The sequence below is a fragment of the Homo sapiens genome, chromosome Y, assembly GCF_000001405.40.
Source record: "Homo sapiens chromosome Y, GRCh38.p14 Primary Assembly".
Lineage (NCBI taxonomy): Eukaryota > Metazoa > Chordata > Mammalia > Primates > Hominidae > Homo > Homo sapiens.
The window spans coordinates 12,838,538-12,861,355 of record NC_000024.10 but is presented as its reverse complement, the minus strand read 5'-3'; the positions used below and the strand labels follow the sequence as shown (position 1 = coordinate 12,861,355).

The window sequence follows — 22,818 nt, the reverse complement described above, 5'->3', positions numbered from 1 at the left end:
TATATAAAAAAAGATATTATAACCAATTTGGACAAATGAATTGCATTTCTTCATACTAAGCAACACATTCCAGGGTCTACTGTGTCCAACAATGGGCAAAGAGATATTACATCAAATGAACATATTACACAGGTTACAGAGTGGTAGTTTGGGAGAGTATAAGCATTTTAAATATTGATTGTATAAAATAGTTCAACATTTGCTAATTTGGTATTCATGGTGACTTTATAACTGTGAATAACAAGAATCAACTATGTAAAAATGTGCCAAAAGCACAAAAATGATTAAGCTAGAAAATTTTTTTACAAGGCCAATATCTTAATTTTTTTTTCTTTTTTTAGGTCCTTAATGAAAGGCCAAGGGCCAATTTTTTTATGCATAAAAACTCAATGTGTCTGAAATGCTGAATTCAGTGTCATGCCAACGCATGCCATGCAAATAATTAATTTAAATGCGTAGTCCTTAAGAATACTACAAGAGAGTAACAAGAAACAAAAACACACCACAGGACAAAAGTCTTCTTAAATTTTATTTGTGAATTCAGCAAAATAATTTCTATAAAACAAAACAGCCAAACATTTAAATAGTATAGGATAGGCTGTATCTATTTGCAGGTATATTTGGTTTTTAAACAGGTTCCAAAATATTACACACATTCAAAATTTACCAATTCTCTTTTAAATATAGTATTAACTCACAGGTTTCTTGGAATCTTAAAACAAATGTTTTTTCTAAAATGGTACCTTAGAATTACATTAAATAAGCAGGAGCTTAGATCTTAATTAAATCTTGTATCTAACAACAAGAGTTTTAGAATAATGAAAAAAAACTACAACAATTCTTTCTTTCAAATAAAAGTGTGACTATGAATTCAGTCAGACATCTTGGTGCAATGGTACTTCAAAGTACTATGGATTCTTATGATGTACACTTCACCGGGATCAGGAGAAGCAAAGTTTTAGAAACTTCACTTAATAAATTCTATGGAAAAAAAAAATCGCAAGCACACCAAATACAATCTATTATGCTCCACCACATTCTGACATAGGAAAATTTTGTGTATTGGTTTTAATATTTTAAAATTCGTATTATCGATACTTTGATATTCTTCAGCTCAAGAAATTGAACTATCAAACATTAAATGTGAAGAATATGTGTGCAATGAAAAACTGCTTGTCTGTCACATTTTTCCCCCATTTTATATTTATTCTAGGTATAAGAAATAAAAGCTCTGAGCAATATACAGCTGTCACTCTGGGCACTGTCATTCATGTAATTCTGTCCTCTTGGCTACACAAACAGTGTGAAGCCATGCTAACTGTTACAGCATAAGAATAGCTTTAAAGTGGTTAGCCTATATACCAGAATAAAAAGGTAATGAAAAGTATCTAGAAATGTTACACTGCCAATTTTCCACATCAACCATATAATTCAAAAGTTACCACCAGCCTTATATATCCAGGAAAGAAGGATTAACAAGAAACTATTGGTGTAAACTGACAAAGATGGGCTCTTTTATGTTCCCTTTTTTGGGGGGAAGTTGGTAAGTTGACCAAACTGCTCAAAGCAGGCAATATCAATTGCACAATGTAGTGAACACAACAAAAAATAATTGTGTGACTGTGTAGATCTGACTTGTTTTCATCAAAAAAAGTTTCTTGCTTAAGAATTAACAGTCAGACATTAACATAGTATATATACCTTTCTCATTTACAGATTAGGACCAGTCATTTGTTACAAAACTCTGTACACTTCACCCTGCATGTGTCTTATACACTGACAAATTGCAAATTACTGCAAATAAACCAGTGAATATGCTCTTTACTCCATGTTGGTTTGGAGCAGTTTATCTAGTTTTCAATACTAGCCAGACACAGAGAAAGTTTGGACTATAAGACCTTAGTGCATAGTCATAAAGGAAGCAGTTAATTATTGCTTTTCACTGATCCTTCATCTGAGGTGAGGATACTTCTTCATTGCCTTCATAATTTTCTTGTGTTCGTTGGCCTGTTTTCTGAGGGTTGTTCAAGTGATGTGCTGCTGGTCCTGTATATGGCTGTCCATGTACATGATTATTCTAAGAGGGTGAAAGAGACCAGCATTGTAACACTTTTCAAATATTAACAATTAAAAATTTAAAACCATGGGGTAAGGTTGGTCAAAAAGTAGACATTTTTAAACCTGGATCTTTAAAAAAAAAAAAAGAACTTACAATCTGATTTTTATATTTGAAGAGAAGAAGTACCATATGAATAAAGTGTTTTGAGAAAGTGCACACACATAAATGTGTCAGCTTCTGATAAAAATTCATTTCACCTCCCTAGAGAATGTACCCAAGAGTCTTGGCCAGGTGCAGTGACTCATACCTGTAATCCCAGCATTTTGGGAGGCCAAGGTGGGCGGATCACAAGTTCAGGAGTTCAAGACTAGCCTGGCCAACACAGTGAAACCCTGTCTCTACTAAAAATGAAAAACTTAGCTGGGCAAAGTGATGCAAGCCTGTAGTCCTAGCTACTTGGGAGGCTGAGGCAGGAGAATGGCTTGAACTTGGGAGGTGGAGGTTGCAGTGAGCCGAGATCAGGCCACTGCACTCCAGCTTGGGCAACAGAGTCAGACTAGGTCTAAAATAAAAAAGTCTTGGATGGCCAATTATTGTGCTAAGCAGAAAGGTTTTCCATGTGTTTTCCCCAGAGCAGCAACACTTGGAAATTTATAAGAAGTGACAATTGTTGGCCAGGTGCAGTGGCTCACGCCTATAATCCCAGCATTTTGGGGGGCCAAGGCGGGCAGATCACAAGGTCAAGAGATTGAGTCCATCCTGGCCAACATGGTGAAACTCCACCTCTACTAAAAATACAAAAATTAGCTGGGCGTGATGGTGCGTTCCTATAGTCCAGCTACTCGGGAGGCTGAGGCAGAATTGCCTGAACCCCAGAGGCGGAGGTTACAGTGAGCTGTGATTGCACCACTGCACTCTAGACTGGTGACAGGGTGAGACTCTCTCAAAAAAAGAAAAAAAAAAGGCCAATTCTTGAGCCCCACGATAGCCCTGTAGAGTGACAATTTCTGGACCCTGCAATTGCTGTTCTCAATCAGTGCATTTACATGATTATGATGTACATTAAATTTAAGAACCATGGCCTTAAAATGACTGCATTAGCCACATTTGCGGCTAATCTTCCCAGAATCTTTTCCCAAATATACCTGTTTTGCAAAAGAACTTATCAGAAAGTTTATTTATATTTTTCCGAAGTTATATTTTTTCAGTTAACCATCTATTAAAGCCAGTCAAACTGAATTTTTACTGCCACTGAATCTCAGATACTTTTGCTTTCACATTTCTTCAACAATTACTGAAATATCACACAATTTTATTAACCATAGCAAATAGCAAAAGGGGGTAGTACCTGGTTACAAAGAACATATCACAATGGCAAAATAAAACATGACGTCATTTCAACTAACACTCTACTGATCATCTTGTCAAAGCTGTTCTAGATAATTTATTACTTTACAGTCACAGTGGATCCATCTTCACTCCATGTTGGTTTGGAACAGTTTATCCAGTTTTAAATATCAGCCAGGTACAGAGAAAGTTTGGACTTTCAAAATATTTAAGAAAATAATAATTGAAGACCTTTTAAGTAAAGCATCAAAATGGGTTTGGGGGATAAAAATGAAAAATCCTTTTTACCTGTTGATACTGAGAGGCAGGTGAATGAGGATATAATGGGGCATCTTCTGATGGAGAGGGCTCATGCTCATCTGGGGCATCCTGGTCATCTGGCTCCTAATTTTAAATATTTAAAGAGATTAAGCATTAGATTATAAAAGTAACTTCAAATTTATATTTAATTTCCTTCATTTAGAATAAACTTTTAAAAAATGCACAAAGCTGGCCTCTTTAACATCTTTGCATTTACTGCAAATAATTTAAAATATAAGAAAACAGGCCGGGTGCAGTGGCTCATGCTTATAATCTCAGCACTTTGGGAGGCCAGGCAGGTGGATCACTTAAGGTCAAGATTTGAGACCAGCCTGGCCAACATGGTGAAATCCTGTCTCTATTAAAAATACAAAAATTAGCCAGGCATGGTGGTGGCTGCCTGTAATCCCAGCTACTCGGGAGGCTGAGGCAGAAGAATTTCTTGAACCTGAGAGGTGGGGGTTGCAGTGAGCCGAGATCACGCTGCTGCAGCAGCCTGGGCAATAGGGTGAGACTCAAAAAAAAAAAGAAAAAGCAAAAGCAAACAAAGACAAAAAACAAACAAAAGAATATCTGAATTCTCTCAGGTATGTGATTTTTAGACAATTTCACAGAAATTTTTTCCAAAAGGAAACTCCTTTGTTAACTTAAGATCAAACAAATCAAGCTAACCACTAAAGCAAACAAAACTGCACATGATTTTTTTAAGCACAATATTAATAAACATGGGCCTACACATTAAAAAAATACTTTTCTTTTTCCCATTTCCATCTGCTGTCCATTGGTAGCCTTTTTTTTTTTTACCTCTTCTGGACAGAGTTCACAAGCTTTTGCAAGTGTCATCCTAGCACTATGTGATCTTTCTAAGAAATAACCATTTGCTGTTTCATTGCTTTGTACTGGAGGAGACCAATTGTTGTAACTATACTGAGGATTGCCAGTATATGGTCTTCTTTCAAGTTCATCTCCTAGCCATTCCACTGCCCAGGTCCATTTTCTTTTAAGATCTCCGTTACCCTTTAGAAAAAAATAAAACTATTTAGAATTTAGAATGATTTTCAGTATCAGCTTAAAATGCTAATACAAAAATTTCACGATCATTTCCTTACTTGTGACAGAGGTTTCTACAAATTTATAAGAGAAAAACCCTCACCTGTAAGATCTGGTAAGCAACAGGACAACTGCTAAATAGAGCTACCATACATTTTATGCACTGATATGCTCGTTTTTGATAGTGATTCTTCGAGCGCTGTATTGTATCGAACAGCCCATCTCTGTCATCTGGAATTCCTTTAAGTGCATTATGAATTCTAAAACAGAAGCAGATGTAAAACTTTGTAATATCCAATAGTAGCTAACATTTGAGTTCCTAATTATGTGCCATTTAGTACTTTTTTGATGTAATCATATAATCTAATTAACATTAGAGTTACTTTCCTAAGTAGGTAGGAACAAATTAAAATTAGGAACATTTTAACAAATGAGAAAACAAGTACAGACAGCACAAATAGCTTGCCAAATATTACAGATCTGGCAACTTGAGCAGCTGGTTAGCAATCTGACTTAGTCAGACATAGGAATCTCACTTAGATTGCTAACCAGCTGCTCACAAAAATTACTAAGAGCAAATTAAGGACAATGATGCCACATAATTTTTCATATTTCTTTTCCTTTCTTTCTTTCTTTTTTTTTTAAGAGATAGAATTCTTGCTCTGTGTCCCAGGCTGGACTGCAGTGGCATGATTGTAGTTTGTGGCTCACTGTAGCCTCAAAACCAGAATACAAGGAATACTTTCACTTCAGCCTCCCAAGTAGTTGGGATTACAGAAACACACCACCATGTCCAGTTCACCACATTACTTTACTAAAGCTATTAGTCTTTTAAGACTTCTTTAGTTGAAAAAAACTTACTGATTATGGAACAATGATATAAATTGGCAGTATAAAATTAACTTGAATTCTGATACTGTGAAAACACATACATGACGCATAAAGCAATTTTCACTGACAATGATAAAATCTGCCTGATTTGCTAATGATCAATTATTTTATTTCAGGACTGCCTAACTGCAACATATTTACATAGCCAACTCTTCCCTGTTTCTCCTTAATAGTCAATTTAAAAAATTGCAAACGAAGGCTGGGCGCGGTGGCTCACACCTGTAATACCAGCACTTTGGGAGGCAAAGCTGGGTGGATCACCTGAAGTCAGGAGCTTGAGACCAGCCTGACCAACATGGTGAAACCCTGTCTCTACTAAAAATGCAAAAATTAGCCAGGCATGGTGGTGCATGTGCGTAATCCCAGCTACTTGGGAGGCTGAGGTTGCAGTGAGCGGAGATCACCCCACTGCAATCCAGCCTGGGCAACAAGAGCAAAACTCTGTCTCAAAAAAAAGTTACAAACAAATATATGCTTTCTTTCTTTTGTGTCATTACCTACACAGAAAAATAACTTGAAATTTCTTTTCTCTATACCATGTATCTTACTTAACAAAGTATTTTTATATTCCAGGTCAGATGTTAGGTTTTTTTTGTTAGCTTCAGAGACATTTATAATACAACTTTTGTTTGGAAAGGGCAACTTTTGAAATCTAATCATTTCAGACAAAAAATAACATGGATATGCTTCCTGCAACACTTGTGATGTATCATATTCCATTTTCTTATTCTCTTACAGTTTATAATGAAGTGATAATAACACTGCTTGGCACACAGCAGATGTTGATATATATATCTGTTGAATACTGTTTACTGAATAAACTCAATGTTCATTATACAAAACACTTCAAGCTTATGTTTGTAAGGACAATATTAATTTTGTACAAAAGTCTACTATTTTCCACATTAATCCAACATGTGTACCTTTACTAAAATCACTTCCTTGGATAAGATAAGAAGGCTAAAAATGTGATTTAGCCTTATAGTAACTACAAGATGTACATAGCTGGCTGGGTGCAGTGGCTCATGCATGTAATTCCAACACTATGGGATGCCCAGGCAGGTGGATCACGAGGTCAGGAGATCAACACCACCCTGGCCAACATGGTGAAACCCCGTCTCTACTAAAATACAAAAAAATTAGCTGGGCGTGGTGGCATGCACCTGTAGTCCCAGCTACTAGGGAGGCTGAGGCAGGAGAATCACTTGAATCCGGGAGACGGAGGTTGCAGTGAGCTGAGATTGTGCCACTGCACTCCAGCCAGATGACAAAGCAAGAAGGAGTCTCAAAAAAATAAAATAAAATCACATAGCAAACAATATTTGTCTAAAAATTCTTTCAAACACAGTAAAAATTTTAAATAAAAATTGGAACCCATTAAAACAAATGAGATCTAATATAAAACATTACCCATCTAATGCCACTTTTACATTATTTGATCTGCTTGATGCTGGACTGAATCACAACTTGAGAATTTTAATTGTTGAAATCTAATATTTTCGGTTCTCTAAAATTCAAGATTACAATGATTTACCTTTAAGCACTGTGTTCTGCAGCTTTATAATACATTTGTTTTCGGGTTCTTTTGCTTATTATTATGTCTAATAGGTGTGTTTCTGTGTGTGTGTATGTTTGTGTGTGTTCCTAAAACAAGCTATATTAAAATTCTCACGAGGAGAAAAGTTAGAATTTTCAGGCAGAATTAGGCAACTAATTCTACAGTATAATTCTTAGACTGATTTTACTGAAGAGAACACAATTGAGAATTCTAGGGGTATGTTTATAGACCTGTTAGTAGCATAATCTCAGTTCTGAAAAATTACCACTCCGATTTCTTATATACTAATACAACTACTTAGAGGCGATGGATTAAGTGTTACCTATTGTAACTAATTCTAGAAAAAGTACATCATAATCCTAAAATATTAACAGAACTTAAGGAGGTATCAAAAGCCTTACTGGGTTCCTTAAAAAAATAAAAACAGTAAATGGAAGACAAAACCTAATATTAAGGATGAAAGTGGAACATTAAGAGAAAAGAATGTGATGGAGAAATAGGAACAGCTCTGGTCTGCAGCTCCCACTGTGATTGATGCAGAAGATGGGTGATTTCTACATTTCCAACTTAAGTACCTGGTTCATCTCACTGGGACTGGTTGGAGAGTGGGTGCAGCCCACGGAGGGTGATCCGAAGAAGGGCAGGGCGTCACCTCACCTGGGAAGCTCAAGGTGTCCAGGGATTTCCCTTTCTTAGCCAAGGGAAGCTGTGACAGACTGTACCTGGAAAAAAGGGATACTTCCGCCCAAATACTGCGCTCTTCTCAAGGTCTTAGCAACCAGCAGACAAGGAGATTCTCTCCCATGCCTGGCTCGGTGGGTCCCACATCCACAGAGCCTTGCTCACTGCTAGTGCAGCAGTCTGAGATCGAACTGCAAGGCAGCAGCCTGGCTGGGGAATGGGCATCCACCATTGCTGAGGCTTGAGTAGGTAAACAAAGCAGCTGGGAAGCCTGAACTGCTTCCGCCCACCGCAGCTCAGCAAGGTCTGCTGCCTCTAGACTCCACCTCTGCGGGCAGGGCTTAGCTGAACACAAGGCAGCAGATAACTTCTGCAGACTTAAACATCCCTGTCTGACAGCTCTGAAGAGAGCTGTGGTTCTACCAACACAGTGTTTGAGCTCTGAGAATGGACAGTTTGCCTCCTCAAGTGGGTCCCTGACCGCCAGGTAGCCTAACTGGGAGACACCTCCTAGTAGGGGCCAACAGACACCTCATATAGGCGGGTGCCCCTCTGGGATGAAGCTTCCAGAGGAAGGATCAGGCAGCAATATTTGCTGTTCTGCAATATTTGCAATTCTGCAGCTTCCACTGGCGATACCCAGGCAAACAGCGTCTGGAGGGACCTCCAGCAAAGTCCAACTGACCTGCAGCTGAGGGACCTGACTGTTAGAAGGAAAATAATAACAGAAAGGAATAGCATCAACATCAACAAAAAGGACATCCAACACCAACACCCCATCTGTAGGTCACTAACATCAGAGACCAAAGGTAGATAAAACCACAAAGATGGGGAGTAACCAGAGCAGAAAAGCTGAACACTCTAAAAATCAGAGCGCCTCTTCTCCTCCAAAGGATTGCAACTCCTCGCCAGCAACGGAACAAAGTTGGACAGAGAATGACTTTGATGAGTTGACAGAGGTAGGCTTCAGAAGGTTGGTAATAACAAACTACTCCGAGCTAAGGGAGCATGTTCGAAACCATCGCAAGGAAGCTAAAAACCTTGAAAAAAGGTTAGACGAATGGCTAACTAGAATAAACAGTGAAAACCTTAAATGAACTAATGAAGCTGAAAACCATGGCACGAGAACTTTGGGACACGTGCACAAGCTTGAATAGCCACTTGGATCAAGTGGAAGAAAGAGTATCCGTGACTGAAGATCAAATGAAAGAAATAAAACAAGAAGAAAAGTTTAGAGAAAAAAGAGTAAAAAGAAACAAACAATGCCTCCAAGAAATATGGGACTATGTGAAAAGACCAAATCTACGTTTGATTGGTGTACCTGAAAGTGATGGGGAGAATGGAACCAAGTTGTAAAACACTCTACAGGATATTATCCAGGAGAACTTTGCCAACCGAGCAAGTCCAGCCAACATTCAAATTCAGGAAATACAGAGAACACCACAAAGATACTCCTCAAGAACAGCAACCCCAAGAACATAATTGTCAGATTCACCAAGGGTAAAATGAAGGAAAAAATGTTAAGGGAAGCCAGAGAGAAAGGTCGAGTTAACCACAAAGGGAAGCCCATCAGACTAACAACAATGGCTTTCTCAGCAGAAACCCTACAAGCCAGAAGAGAGTGGGGCCAGTATTCAATGTTCTTAAAGAAAAGAATTTTCAACCCAGAATTTCATATCCAGACAAACTAAGCTTCATAAGTGAAGGAGAAATAAAATCCTTTACAGACAAGCAAAGGCTGAGAGATTTTGTCACCACCAGGCCTGCCTTACAAGAGCTCCTGAAGGAAGCACTAAACATGGAAAGGAACAAGCGGTATCAGCCACTGCAAAAACATGCCAAATTGTAAAGATCATCAAGGCTGTGAAGAAACTGCATCAGTTAACTGGCAAAATAACCAGCTAACATCATAATGACAGGATCAAATCCACACATAACAATATTAACCTTAAATGTAAATGGGCTAAATGCCCCAAATAAAAGACACAGACCAGCAAATTGGATAAAGAGTCAAGACCCATCGGTGTGCTGCATTCAGGAGACCCATCTCATGTGCAAAGACACACACAGGTTCAAAATAAAGGGATGGAGGAAGATCTGCCAAGCAAATGGAAAGCAAAAGAAAAGCAGGGGTTGCAATCCTCGTCTCAGATAAAACAGACTTTAAACCAACAAAGATCAAAAGAGTTTAAACCAACAAAGAAGGCCACTACATAATGGTAAAGGGATCAATTCAACAAGAAGAGCTAACTATCCTAAATATATATGCACCCAATACAGGAGCACCAAGATTTGTAAAGCAAGTCCTTAGAGACCTACAAAGAGACTTAGACTCCCACACAATAATAATGGGAGACAAAATTATTATTTTGTGTGACAGTGGAGACTTTAACTCTCCACTGTCAATATTAGAAAGATTGAGACAGGTTAACAAAGATATCCAGGACGTGAAATCAGTTCTGCAACAAGCAGACCTAGTAGACATCTACAGAACTCTCCACCCCAAATCAACAGAATATACATTCTTCTCAGCACCACATCACACTTATTCTAAAATTGACCACATAGTTGGAAGTAAAGCACTCCTCAGCAAATGTAAAAGAACAGAAATCACAACAAACCATCTCTCAGAGCACAGAGCAATCAAATTAGAACTCGGGATGAAGAAAACTCACTCAAAACTGCACAACTACATGGAAACTGAACAACCTGCTCCTGAATGACCACTGCATAGTGAAATGAAGGCAGAAATAAAGATGTTTTTTAAACCAATGAGAACAAAGACACAATGTACCAGAATCTCTGGGACACATTTAAAGCAGTGTGTAGAGGGAAATTTATAGCACTAAATGCCCACAAGAGAAAGCAGGAAAGTTCTAAAATCAACACCCTAACATCACAATTAAAAGAACTAGAGAAGCAAGAGCACATTCAAAAGCTAGCAGAAGGCAAGAACACATTCAAAACACATTCAAAAGCTAGCAGAAGGCAAGAAATAACTAAGATCAGAGCAGAACTGAAAGAGATAGAGACACAAAAAACCCTTAAAAAAAAAAAAGTCATGAATCCAGGAGCTGGTTTTTTGAAAAGATCAACAAAATAAATAGATCACTAGCAAGACTAATAAAGAAGACAAGAGAGAAACATCAAATAGATGCAATAAAAAATGATAAAGGGATATCACCACTGATCCCACAGAAATAAAAACTACCATCAGAGAATACTATAAACACCTCTATGCAAATAAATTAGAAAATCTAGAAGCAATGGACAAATTCCTGGACACCTACACTCTCCCAAGACTAAACCAGGAAGAAGTTGAATCCCTGAATAGACCAATAACAGGCTCTGAAATTGAGGCATTAATTAATAGCCTACCAACCAAAACAAGTCCAGAACTAGATGGATTCACAGCTGAATTCTACCAGTGGTACAAAGAGGAGCTGATACCATTACTTCTGAAACTATTCCAATCAGCAGAAAAAAGAGGGAATCCTCCCTAATTCATTTTACGAGGCCAGCATCATCCTGATACCAAAGCCTGGCAGAGTCACAATAAAAAAAGAGAATTTTAGACCAATATCCCTGGTGAACATTGATGCAGGAATCCTCAAGAAAATACTGGCAAACCAAATCCAGCAGCACATCCAAAAGCTTATCCATCATGATCAGGTGGGCTTCATCCCTGGGATGCAAGCTTGGTTCAACATATGCAAATCAATAAACATAATCCATCACATAAACAAAACCAATGAAAAAAACCACATGATTATCTCAATAGATGCAGAAAAGGCCTTCAACAAAATTCAGTAGCCCTTCATGCTAAAAACTCTCAATAAACTAGGTATTGATGGAATGTATTTCAAAATAAGAGCTATTTATAACAAACCCACAGCCAATATCATACTGAATGGGCAAAAACTGGAAGCATTCCCTTTGAAAACCGGTACAACACAGCGATGCCCTGTCTCACCATTCCTGTTCAGTATAGTGTTGGACGTTCTGGCCAGGGCAATCAGGAAAGAGAAAGAAATAAAGGATATTCAATTAGGAAATGAGGAAGTCAAATTGTCCCTGTTTGCAGATGACATGACTATATATTTAGAAAACCCCATTGTCTCAGCCCAAAACCTCAAGCTGATAAGCAACTTCAGCAACGTCTCAGCATAAAAAATCAATGTGCCAAAAATCACAAGCATTCCTATACACCAATAACAGAGAGCCAAATCATGAATGAATTCCCATTCACAATCACTTCAAACAATAAAATACATAGGAATACAACTTACAAGGGATGTGAAGGACCTCTTCAAGGAGAACTACAAACCACTGCTCAATGAAATAAAAGAGGACACAAACAAATGGAAGAACATTCCATGCTCATGGATAGGAAGAATCAATATCATGTAAATGGCCATACTGCCCAAGGTTATCTATAGATTCAATGCCATCCCCATCAGGCTACCAATAACTTTCTTCACAGAATTGGAAAAAACTACTTCAAAGTTAGTATGGAACCAAAGAAGAGCCTGCATTGCCAAGACAATCCTAAGCCAAAAGAACAAAGCTGGAGGCATCACGTTACTTGACTTCAAAGTATACTACAAGGCTACAGTAACCAAAACAGCATGGTACTGGTACCAAAACAGATATATAGACCAATGGAACAGAATAGAGGCCTCAGAAATAACCCCACACTTCTACAACTATCTGATCTTTGACAAACCTGAGAAAAACAAGCAATGGGGGAAGGATTCCCTATTTAATAAGTGGTGCTGGGAAAACTGGCTAGCCATATGTAGAAAGCTGAAACTGGATCCCTTCCTTACACCTTATACAAAGATTAATTCAAGATGGATTAAAGACTTAAATGTTAGACCTAAAACCATGAAAACCCTAGAAGAAAACCTAGGCAATACCATTCAGGAGATAGGATGGGCAAGGTCTTCACGACTAAAACATCAAAAGCAATGGCAACAAAAGCCAAAATAGACAAATGTAAAGTAAAGAGCTTCTACATGGCAAAAGAAACTACCATCATAGTGAACAGGCAACCTACAGAATGGGAGAAAATTTTTGCAATCTACCCATCTGACAAAGGCCTAATATCCAGAATCTACAAAGAACTCAAAGAAATTTACAAGAAAAAAAAACAAATAACCCCATCAAGAAGTGGGCAAAAGATATGAACAACACTTCTCAAAAGAAGACATCTATGCAGGCAACAGACACATGGAAAAAAGCTGATGATTAGAGAAATGTAAATCAAAACCACAATGAGATACCATCTCACACCAGTCAGAATGGTGATTCTTAAAATGTCAATAAACAACAGATGCTGGTGAGGTTGTGGAGGAATAGGAACGGTTTTACACTGTTGTTGAGAGTGTAAATTAGTTCAACCATTGTAGAAGACTGTGGCAATTCCTCAAGGATCTAGAACTAGAAATACCATTTGACCAACTGATCCCATTACTGCGTATATACCCAAAGGATTATAAATCATGCTACTATAAAGACACATGCACATGTTTGTTTACTGAGGCACTATTCACAAGAGCAAAGACTTGGAACCAACCCAAGTATCCATCAATGACAGGCTGGATAAAGAAAATGTGGCACATACACACCATGGAATATTGTGAAGCCATAAAAAAGTATGAGTTCATGTCCTTTGCAGGCACATGGATGAAGCTGGAAACTATCATTCTGAGGAGACTGTCACAAGGACAAAAAACCAAACACTGCATGTTCTCACTCATAAGTGGGAATTGAGCAATGAGATCACTTGGACACAGGGCGGGGAACATCACACACCAGGGCCTGTCGGGGGGTGGGGGCGGGGGTGGAATAGCATTAGGAGAAATAGCTAATGTAAGTGTCAAGTTGATGGGTGCAGTAAACCAACATGGCACATGTATACCTATGTATCAAACCTGCATGTTGTGCAGATGTACCCTAGAACTGAAAGTATAATTAAAAAAAAAAAGAATGCAAGTAAGTGGCAATTTTTCTTCATATGTTTTTAAAGACAACATTAAGCGGAGTATCAAAGATAAAAAATGTGTATGGCAAATGACAATTCCAGTCATTTCAAGAACTTGGGAAATTCTAATTATTCTGGTGGCAAAAGGGTATTCACCTGTGAGTCTGCCAGGAGTCCTCAATCAGTAAAATTTGGAAAAGTAGATCTAAATATGGCCGAAGTTCATAGGTATATGAATATGCAACCTACAAATAGGTAAGAGATAGTGAATTATGTATTTTTAAAAAATGAATAGAATTACAGATATATAAATGTTTATTTTTCTTTCACCTGCCAGAGAAGTTCGCTGAGGACAGTAGATGAGAACTGAGGATTCTCCCAAGAGCAAAAGCGAAGTAATTTGATGGTATCCTCTGAGTTACTGCAGTCTTCAATAATTTTCTTCACATAACTTGTTCTCACAAATAAAATGTCTAACACATTCTGCTGAATTGGCATTATAGGCTGTGATAAATTAAGGTCACCGAAAGGATTGGGGAGAGGGGGATTACCTAGAACAGATTTGTTATCAATGAAAAACCAATAGAATTCCTCACAAAATTATAATAATAAACTTCTTAACTTAAAAAATACAATCTGATTTTAAATTAAATTAAAAATTCACCTAAATGGTCAGGTATATACCAAGATGATAAAATGCAAAATATAAATGCTGACACTAAAGACAAAGTTTATCATTTTTACACTAAGCATTTCATAAGATATCACAGTATCCTACATTTAAAAAATAAACTCCCTATTAAACATATGAAAAAGCTAAAACTTAAGAAATATAATATTCTAGAACATAGGCCTTCAGACTAATTTCATTTTTATAAATCTTCAGAGCTACTTTTTATCAAGTGCTACATAAAGCTAGCATTATTTTTAAACTGCTGTAAAAGAAATGGAACATGCTACTTTACCATTGATTGAAGACTGCATTGTTGATGACACATTGCAACAACGAATCAGCTGAGACACTACTGAATATAACTTGCCTAATTCAGCATACTGATATTTGATTGGAGGACCTGGTCCTTCGTCTAAAGACACAAGCATAAAGGTAGCAGGTACATTCAATTTCAGAAGCTGTGTTTTTTCTGCCACACCTATAAAAAAGGACAGAAAAATAATATGTAGAAAAAAAAACTAAGAGGGTAAGTACTGCAATAATTAAAAATTAATTATTATAGCTCTTTGTAAGTTATATTACTAAAAGCTCATTCTCTTTGCTTAGAATAGAAACAATACAGGCAGAATGCTGACAGAACAGAAAATACACTGATATAATTAAATAAGATACAGTACCGTAACCCTGAAATAATGATCATGACTATGGCATTCCAATTAGCCTAGGTACTAAGGGAAATGTATACTTTCTAGGGCCTAGAGAAGCTGGAAGGCCCTAGCTAAAGAATAACTTTCATCATAAGAAAGTAAGACAGAAACTAGCTGGGAATAGTGGCTTACACCTGTAATCCCAGCACTTTGCAAGGCCAAGGCGGGTGGATCACCTGAGGTCTGGAGTTCGAGACCAGCCTTTTCAACATGGTGAAACCCCATCTCTACTATAAATACAAAAATTAGCTGGGATGTGGTGGTTGGTGCCTGTAATCCGAGCTTCTTGGGAGGCTGAGGCAGGAGAATTGCTTGAATCCAGGAGGCGGACGTTGCAGTGAGAGGAGACTGTGCCACTGCACTCCAGCCTGGGCGACTAAGCGAGACACTATCTCAGAAAAATAAAATAGATAAATAAAAATAAAACAAAGTAAGACAGAAACTAAATAAAATGAGCCATAAAAACTGTTCTAGAAAAAGTTTCCATTCTAGGACATTCCCTTACGTGGCTTGTTTTTTGTAACTACATCTATAGTAATAGATGTATCCAAATGATTTTAGATGATTCCAAATTCTGGACATATGTATCCCACTACTGGATTTCTTTATATAGGTATCCCATATGTTTTTAAAATGCAATCTGCTCACACAACTCCTTTTTCCTCTATCAGAAAATGGCACTACTATTTTCTCAGTTCATCAAGTCACATGCTGGATGTAGGCTTAACATCTCTTTCCTGCTCCGCTTTCTCAAATATCAAATTACCAACTCCTGCTGATTCTAACTCATAAAGAGCTCCTGCATCTGTTCATACCTGTCTTCCATACTGCCAGTTTCCCTAATATAAAGCAGCCGCAATTTTTTTCTATTGATAATTTTTAATACTTTCTTATCTTGGTCTATCGTAAGCCATTCTACGTTATAGACAGTGTGATGTTTTTAAGTTAAGCTTCTTGTGATCCTCTAGTGGTCCATTCATGCCCTCCTGATAATGTCCAGAACACTTTACAAAATCAGAGTAGCATAATTAGAGAATCCTGGAAATCAGTCCTGCTATTCTGTATTCTTCACTGTATAAAGTCACACTGAATACCTCACACTGTGTCTAAGAAGCAAAGTTATGTCAATACTAAGCCTGCATGCACCAACCACTCTGTTTAAAAAATCCTAACCAACCCCTTTCTCCTGGCAAGCTGCTTCTTCCACCCTTAAAGGAAATATTAATTATTCATCACAGAAATATTAGCATGTTTGATTGTAGGGTACTGCCTGAGGCCTTACTGGGAATCTCACACGACGTGTGGCAAACGCATTGTCTCATTTTTCTGAAATCCAAAAACTTCTAAAACCTAAAACATACTGCCCTAATGACTTAAGAGTCATAAATCTACACTAATTCTTGGCAGGGAAAATTATCATTAAGTTGTATTATAAACCATCAATGTGTTGTATATGAGCAGCCAATATCTAAAATAAAATAGTATAAAATAGGATTTTTGTGAATGCATAAACTTAATACTTTTATATTTAAAATATAAAAGTGACTTCATTTATGTTTGTGTAATATCTGCTTCTTACTCTATTACAAGTATCCAGGAATCTCATATGTAGTCAGGCAAGGCAGAGAAAGAGAAAACACAGAGATGATCAGAGAAGGAAGAATAACTGATAAAATGTTCTTCCTGCTCAAGTTAAAGATTAATAACACATATAACACTTTCATTAGAAGAATGCATGACTACAGAACTTAACTTTAGGTAGTAAGATATTTGTGATTTTTAAAAGTTAGCTGAATAACTTTTAAAAATCACAAATACCACAGATATAAAAGTGTAATATAGATACACAGTTATAAAATTTAACTTTTAAAAATCACAAATATCATAGATATAAAAGTGTATGTGCTAATTTAGTCAAATCTTCAAAAAATGTGATCAAATACTTATTACTAACACTAAAATTTTAACTAGTCAATAAATTTTAATTATATCAATAAATTATTAATTTTGAAATATTGTTGTACTAACACCTGAATTGCTGATATTCAAATTGGATAACTACATCTGTAATAAATTTACTCTTCTTTCCACACAATAAAAACAACATAAAACAACATTGAAAACACTATAATGATTTTTGATGTGGATTCCTGGCAATCTATCCATGCATTCAACAATGACTGAGTTGTTCTATGCAATCCCCACTCATTGCAAGAATTCTGCTACCTAGCTGGGGAGTAAGGCAAATATTTTAAAAACCATCAAAACACAATGGAATAAGCCAAACAGAATTTTTTGGGTAAGCATTCTAGAGGCACTCAAAAGAAGAAATAAATAGGTTGATGTGAGAAAAAGCAGGCTACCTTAAGAAAGATATACTGAAAATCACATTTCTTAATTGATGTTAATATTAATATCAACAGAAGAATTAAAGTGGATTATAAATTTGCATTATTATTAATTTCAATTTAGTTTATTTTAATAAAACATATGTACATGTCAAATTCTTTAAAGAAATAATTCTTAAACCTGATAAGCAACACAAGCACTTGGGGTCCTTTAGAAATATGGATTCCTTATCCAAGCCCTAGGAATTCTGATTCAGATAGTGTGGGGTATGACCAGGAAGCCAGTATTTTTCAAAAAGCAATGTTAAGAGATAACATCAATCAGACAAAGTATGTGATCTTAAAGATTACCAGAGAAATAAAACAAGTGCATAAATTACCATATAATATGAGAAATGCCATTAAAGTTACACAGAAAATTTGCAATGCATTTTAAGAATATGAATATGGTATATTGCTTCTACTTCAGAACAAATTACATGTAATCACTTGATTAAAATGTGCTTCCCATTTAATATTTGAAATTGAAACAATCATTAATATAGTTGTGAAAAATTCTTACCTAAATTGGCATACATTACAAACAAATTAAAATATTGCTGTAAATGATGTCCATGCTCTGAAACTTCCCTTCTCAAGAGATTTAGTGTGGCTCTTAGTAAGTGGTCACTCAAGCTCAAGTTATCACATGCCTGTGAAAAATGAAATATTATTTTATCAGCATCAAGATGCAGAAACAGCTTTTATTTGCATACAAAAGGTTATGTTCCTATACGGAGCAAATCTTTCAGAAAGAAAATTATTAAATATAGTTGCTCTTTGAGAGAGAGAATGAAGAGCTCGGCTAGACTTCATTGTAGATCTTGTATGTTACTGTAACTGTAAAACAAACAAACAAACAAACAAAAAGCCCTGGCAACTTCAACAGAAGAATTTAAGTGGATTATTTATTTACATTATCACTAATGTCAATTTCATGTTACAGTGTTTCACTGAAAAGCCTTTAGCCATTATAAAAATAAATCTTAAAAATGTCAAACTTAAGGATTTACTAAATAACTAAATAATTGAATACACAAAAGGAATTTCCCTTCTTTTTCAGAATGCCCAGCAATCACTATTACCATGAAATAATTTTACGAACTCACAAGTGTCATAACATACGTATGAATTTGTTTATGGTGAATACATCAAAGAGAGGAACATAAATTTGCTAATATGAATTTGCAGAAACAGAATTTACTTCTAAGTATTTAATTGCTTAAAAAAAAAAAAAAGCCATGCAATTACCTGACTAGAAGGTCCTGGAGATGCAAAAGGAGAAGGACAAGACCCATCTTGCAAGGAAAAGTGTGCAATAAACACTATAAGTTTTGCAAATGCACCCCTCACTTCTGCACTAGGGCACTCCAGAAGGTATTCAGAGAAGCGATTTGATACATTAAAAAGGACATTATGAGTAAACCAAAAACGTACATTTTTGCTGTGACGGAGAAGAACGCACAGTGCATCATACCTAAAACAGAAACATCTATGAACGTCAAATTTTAGTGATGTGTTTATTTTGCTTGGTACATGGAAGAAACAGATTTTTATGAACCAAACAACGATCTGAGATGTTCTCTCCAATTAACGGTCAGTTGGTTTTAGTACAAATATCAGATTGATAAAGCTGTGTGACTTTAGTCCCACAGAGTCAAAAAAAGGAATGAAATACGAAATATATGTAGCTCTCTGCAAATCCATGATCAAACTCTCCCCAGTGAAGTAACATTTCTTTAATATCTTTCAACGTGAGCAATGCTAAGAGTTGTTAAATCAAGGCATTATAATGTATTCCGTACTTTTATAATTAATAGTAACTTAAAACTATACAGCTATTTTAAAATTGTCTTTTTTTAATTTTTAAAGAGGCAGAGTCTCTACTGACCAAGCTGAAATAAATGTAGTGGTGCAATTACAGCTAACTTCAGCTTCAAACTCCTGGGCTCAAATGATACTACTGCCTCAGCCTCCCAAGTAGCTGGCTCTACGTGAACAAGCTACTAGCTAATTATTTTAATTTTTTTTTTTTTTGTATACAAGATATCTTGCTATGTTGCCTAGGCTAGCCTCAAACTCCAGGCCTAAAGTGATCTACCCATCCCAGCCTGTGGTGGATTAGGTGGATCCTAAAGTGCTAGGACTACAGGTGTGAGTCACCACACTGAGGTAATTTAACTTTTTGTTGAGACGAGGTTTCACTATGTTGCCCAAGCTGGTCTTAAATTCCTGGCCTCAAGTCCTGCCACCTTGGCCTCTTGAAGTGTTGGGATTACAGGTATAAGCCACCACACCTGACCTAAAAATCATCTACCTTTTTAACTATAAGTGAGAATTTCATCTAGTAAAAATAAAATAATTAAATGATGAAATAGACTCAGATATGATACAAATTCACAGGACTAGGAGCCAGTTTTTAAATAAAGGCACATTTAATTTATCTCATGACTACTGCCAAGATTTTTATTCTATATTTTAAATTTGAAATGATATTTTCATGGTTAGGAAAAAATAAAACAGGAAAAAATAAAGAACCAAACAACTATAAGTACTATAAGAATGAAATCCAAAACCATGTACCAGTCACTGGCAGGACCACGAACTATTTTCTTGGTGTGAAATCCAGTGGTAAAGAGGAATCTAGCAGCAAGCTGAATACTAATCATAGTAATTTCTTCTGCTTCAGGCAACAAATAATCCTGCCCTTTAAATAAAAAGTATATATATGGTTAAAAACATTTTTATCTTCAAACTCTATGTTAAAAAATCTTAGTTATTCTTAGTGATTATCTTACCCCTTCCCTAACCCATATTTCAAACTAATTCTTGAGTAAAAAATAGTAATTACTACAACAAATGCTTTTCTATATTTCCATATATTAAGAATCACTGTTCAAAGGTACAGATATCATAATTTTTTCATTTTAAAATAACTATACCAAAAAAGCCAACACATTCATATAAAATGAGGTTAAAGATTCTATGAAAAAATAAAAGAAAACTGAAGAAAAAGGTGAAACACATTTGATGCCCTGTAAGGTATCCTAGAAGCCAAATAAAAACTATTCTTTATTAGAAGAAGCTACTTTCAAAGCTTACCTGGAGCAGGGTTTAAATAAACACCATTACATGTAAGCAGTTTTTTCACAAACTGAAAATACTCTAAACTATATTGCAATCGGTTATGCATAAATTTCACATTTTGTTTCCGTACACTTCTCTCAATGGCTGGTGACATAATGATCTGATGGGGTCTTGCAATAGTTAGCTCTGATATGTATCTTATCATCTCATCATCTTCATCTATCATATCCATTTGTTCATAAAAAAGTATGTAAGCATTCCACCACCTCTTCTGTCGCCTATATGACATGCGCTTCATCATGTGATCAAATACTTCTCCCATGTACTCTCCACCAAAACACTGATTTTTCATTTCTTCATCATCATCCATTTTGCATTCTGTTACATCTCCATCATCAAATTTATACCAGTGATCTGTCTGATCATCTTTACCATTCCTTTGAATGATGTAAGAATAATAATGCCCACCGCTTGCTTGACCACTGTGTACAAGCACTCCTACAAGTCTGTACTTTGTGCCTCCTGCAGTTTCATTGTCAGACTGCTCTTTCTGTTCAATCAACTCATTTTCTGAGTTTACATTATCCCTTTCCAGGTTTGCAACACCTGCTACTGTGTAAGGTCCCATATCCAGCTCTCGAGGAAATTCAAAATAATCATTGAATTTAATTGCACATTCTCTTTCCCAGTCATAGTCAAATCGTTTGAGTTGGATAGCAAGAACCCGAGGCAATTTTTTAATTAGCAGGCGCTTTACTGTGTCAACCTATAATAAACAGAGAATATAAACAAATGTTCTCTTGTAACTAGAACAGAAACTAAAACAATTTCATGTTAATTTTAAAGTTTACAGTCTATTTAAATTTATTTATAAGCAGATGAGTAAATAAAAATAAATACCATCAGGGTAATTATGTCATAACTGACTTAAAGAATCCTTACTTACCAAAGCTAAAAATATATAAATATACTCATCCTTTGGTATCTGTAGGGGACTGGCTCTAGGACCCCCATAAATATCAAAATCTGTGTCTGCTCAAGTTTCTGATTTAAAATGGAGCAGTATTTACATATCATCTACAGACATCCTCCTGTATAGTTTAAACCATCTCTACATAACCTACTTAATACAATGTATTAAGTATGCTATGTAGATGGTTATTACACTGTAATGGCTTTTGAATTTATATTACTTTTTATGGTAGTACTGTTATTTTTTGTTTTCAAATATTTTTCATACATGTTTAGAGGAAATGGTGTTTGCAGAAGCTGTGGATATGAAAGGTCCTTCATTTCTTGCAAACTGGAAAACATTACTGATAAAGACACTGATGGCTATGTAGTTCCATATGGCCACTATTACTTGACTGTGTTACTCCTCTGATGTTTTCTTTTATGCTAATGAACAGAATTTGCTGTGAGTAAACTGAAGACATATGATAAGCAATTTTAATAGCAGCTAATATTTATAGCACTTAAAAACCAGGTAATACACTAAGTGCTGCACACATATTAATGAATTTAATCCTCACTGTCTTATAAAAAGGTACTACCTATGTATAATTATTTTAAAACATGTGGATTAAGAGTAGCAGAAAGGGTGAGAAGAAATAGTCCCAACTGTCAGAAGTGTGGGTAACAGGCAGTATGGCTTTATAAACAAACCACAATCTAAGTGGTGCATAAGTTCAAAACCATGTAGGCAGCTTGAAGGTGAGGGGTTTTGAAGGTCAAGGAAAACACATACATTTTTTAATATATAATATCTTAAAAGACATGTTATCATTCCATCTCCCAAACTAAGTGCCAGAGATAAAAATTAGCTGGCTAGGCCCAAAAAATGAAATCTGGGCTGGGTGCAGTGGCTCACGCCTGTATTCCCAGCACTTTGGGAGGCCAAGGCAGACAGATCATGAGGTCAGGAGTTCAGGACAAGCCTGGCCAACATAGTGAAACCCTGCCTCTACTAAAAACACAAAAAATTAGCCTGGCGTGCTGGCAGGTGCCTGTAATCTCAGCTAGTTGGGAGGCTGAGGTGGGAGAATTGCTTGAACCAGGAGGCAGAGGTTGCAGTGAGCCGAGATCACACCAT

The 22,818-nt window shown here is 36.3% G+C and overlaps 1 protein-coding gene across 3 annotated transcripts in view; it reads right to left on the bottom strand.

Annotated features, from left to right (window-relative positions):
- Nucleotides 517–22,818, bottom strand: part of USP9Y (ubiquitin specific peptidase 9 Y-linked) — a 159,609-nt gene continuing 137,307 nt past the window's right edge. For all 3 annotated transcript variants that reach the window (NM_004654.4, XM_047442772.1, XM_047442771.1), the window contains 11 exons: nt 20,742–21,492; nt 20,223–20,346; nt 18,891–19,116; nt 18,163–18,292; nt 14,838–15,023; nt 14,203–14,423; nt 14,029–14,117; nt 4,860–5,016; nt 4,511–4,723; nt 3,695–3,790; nt 517–2,077 (listed from right to left, as the gene is read on the bottom strand). In NM_004654.4, the coding sequence (NP_004645.2) occupies nt 1,940–2,077; nt 3,695–3,790; nt 4,511–4,723; nt 4,860–5,016; nt 14,029–14,117; nt 14,203–14,423; nt 14,838–15,023; nt 18,163–18,292; nt 18,891–19,116; nt 20,223–20,346; nt 20,742–21,492 (2,331 nt within the window). In that variant the 3' untranslated portion in view covers nt 517–1,939. The remainder of the gene's footprint in view (nt 2,078–3,694; nt 3,791–4,510; nt 4,724–4,859; nt 5,017–14,028; nt 14,118–14,202; nt 14,424–14,837; nt 15,024–18,162; nt 18,293–18,890; nt 19,117–20,222; nt 20,347–20,741; nt 21,493–22,818) is intronic.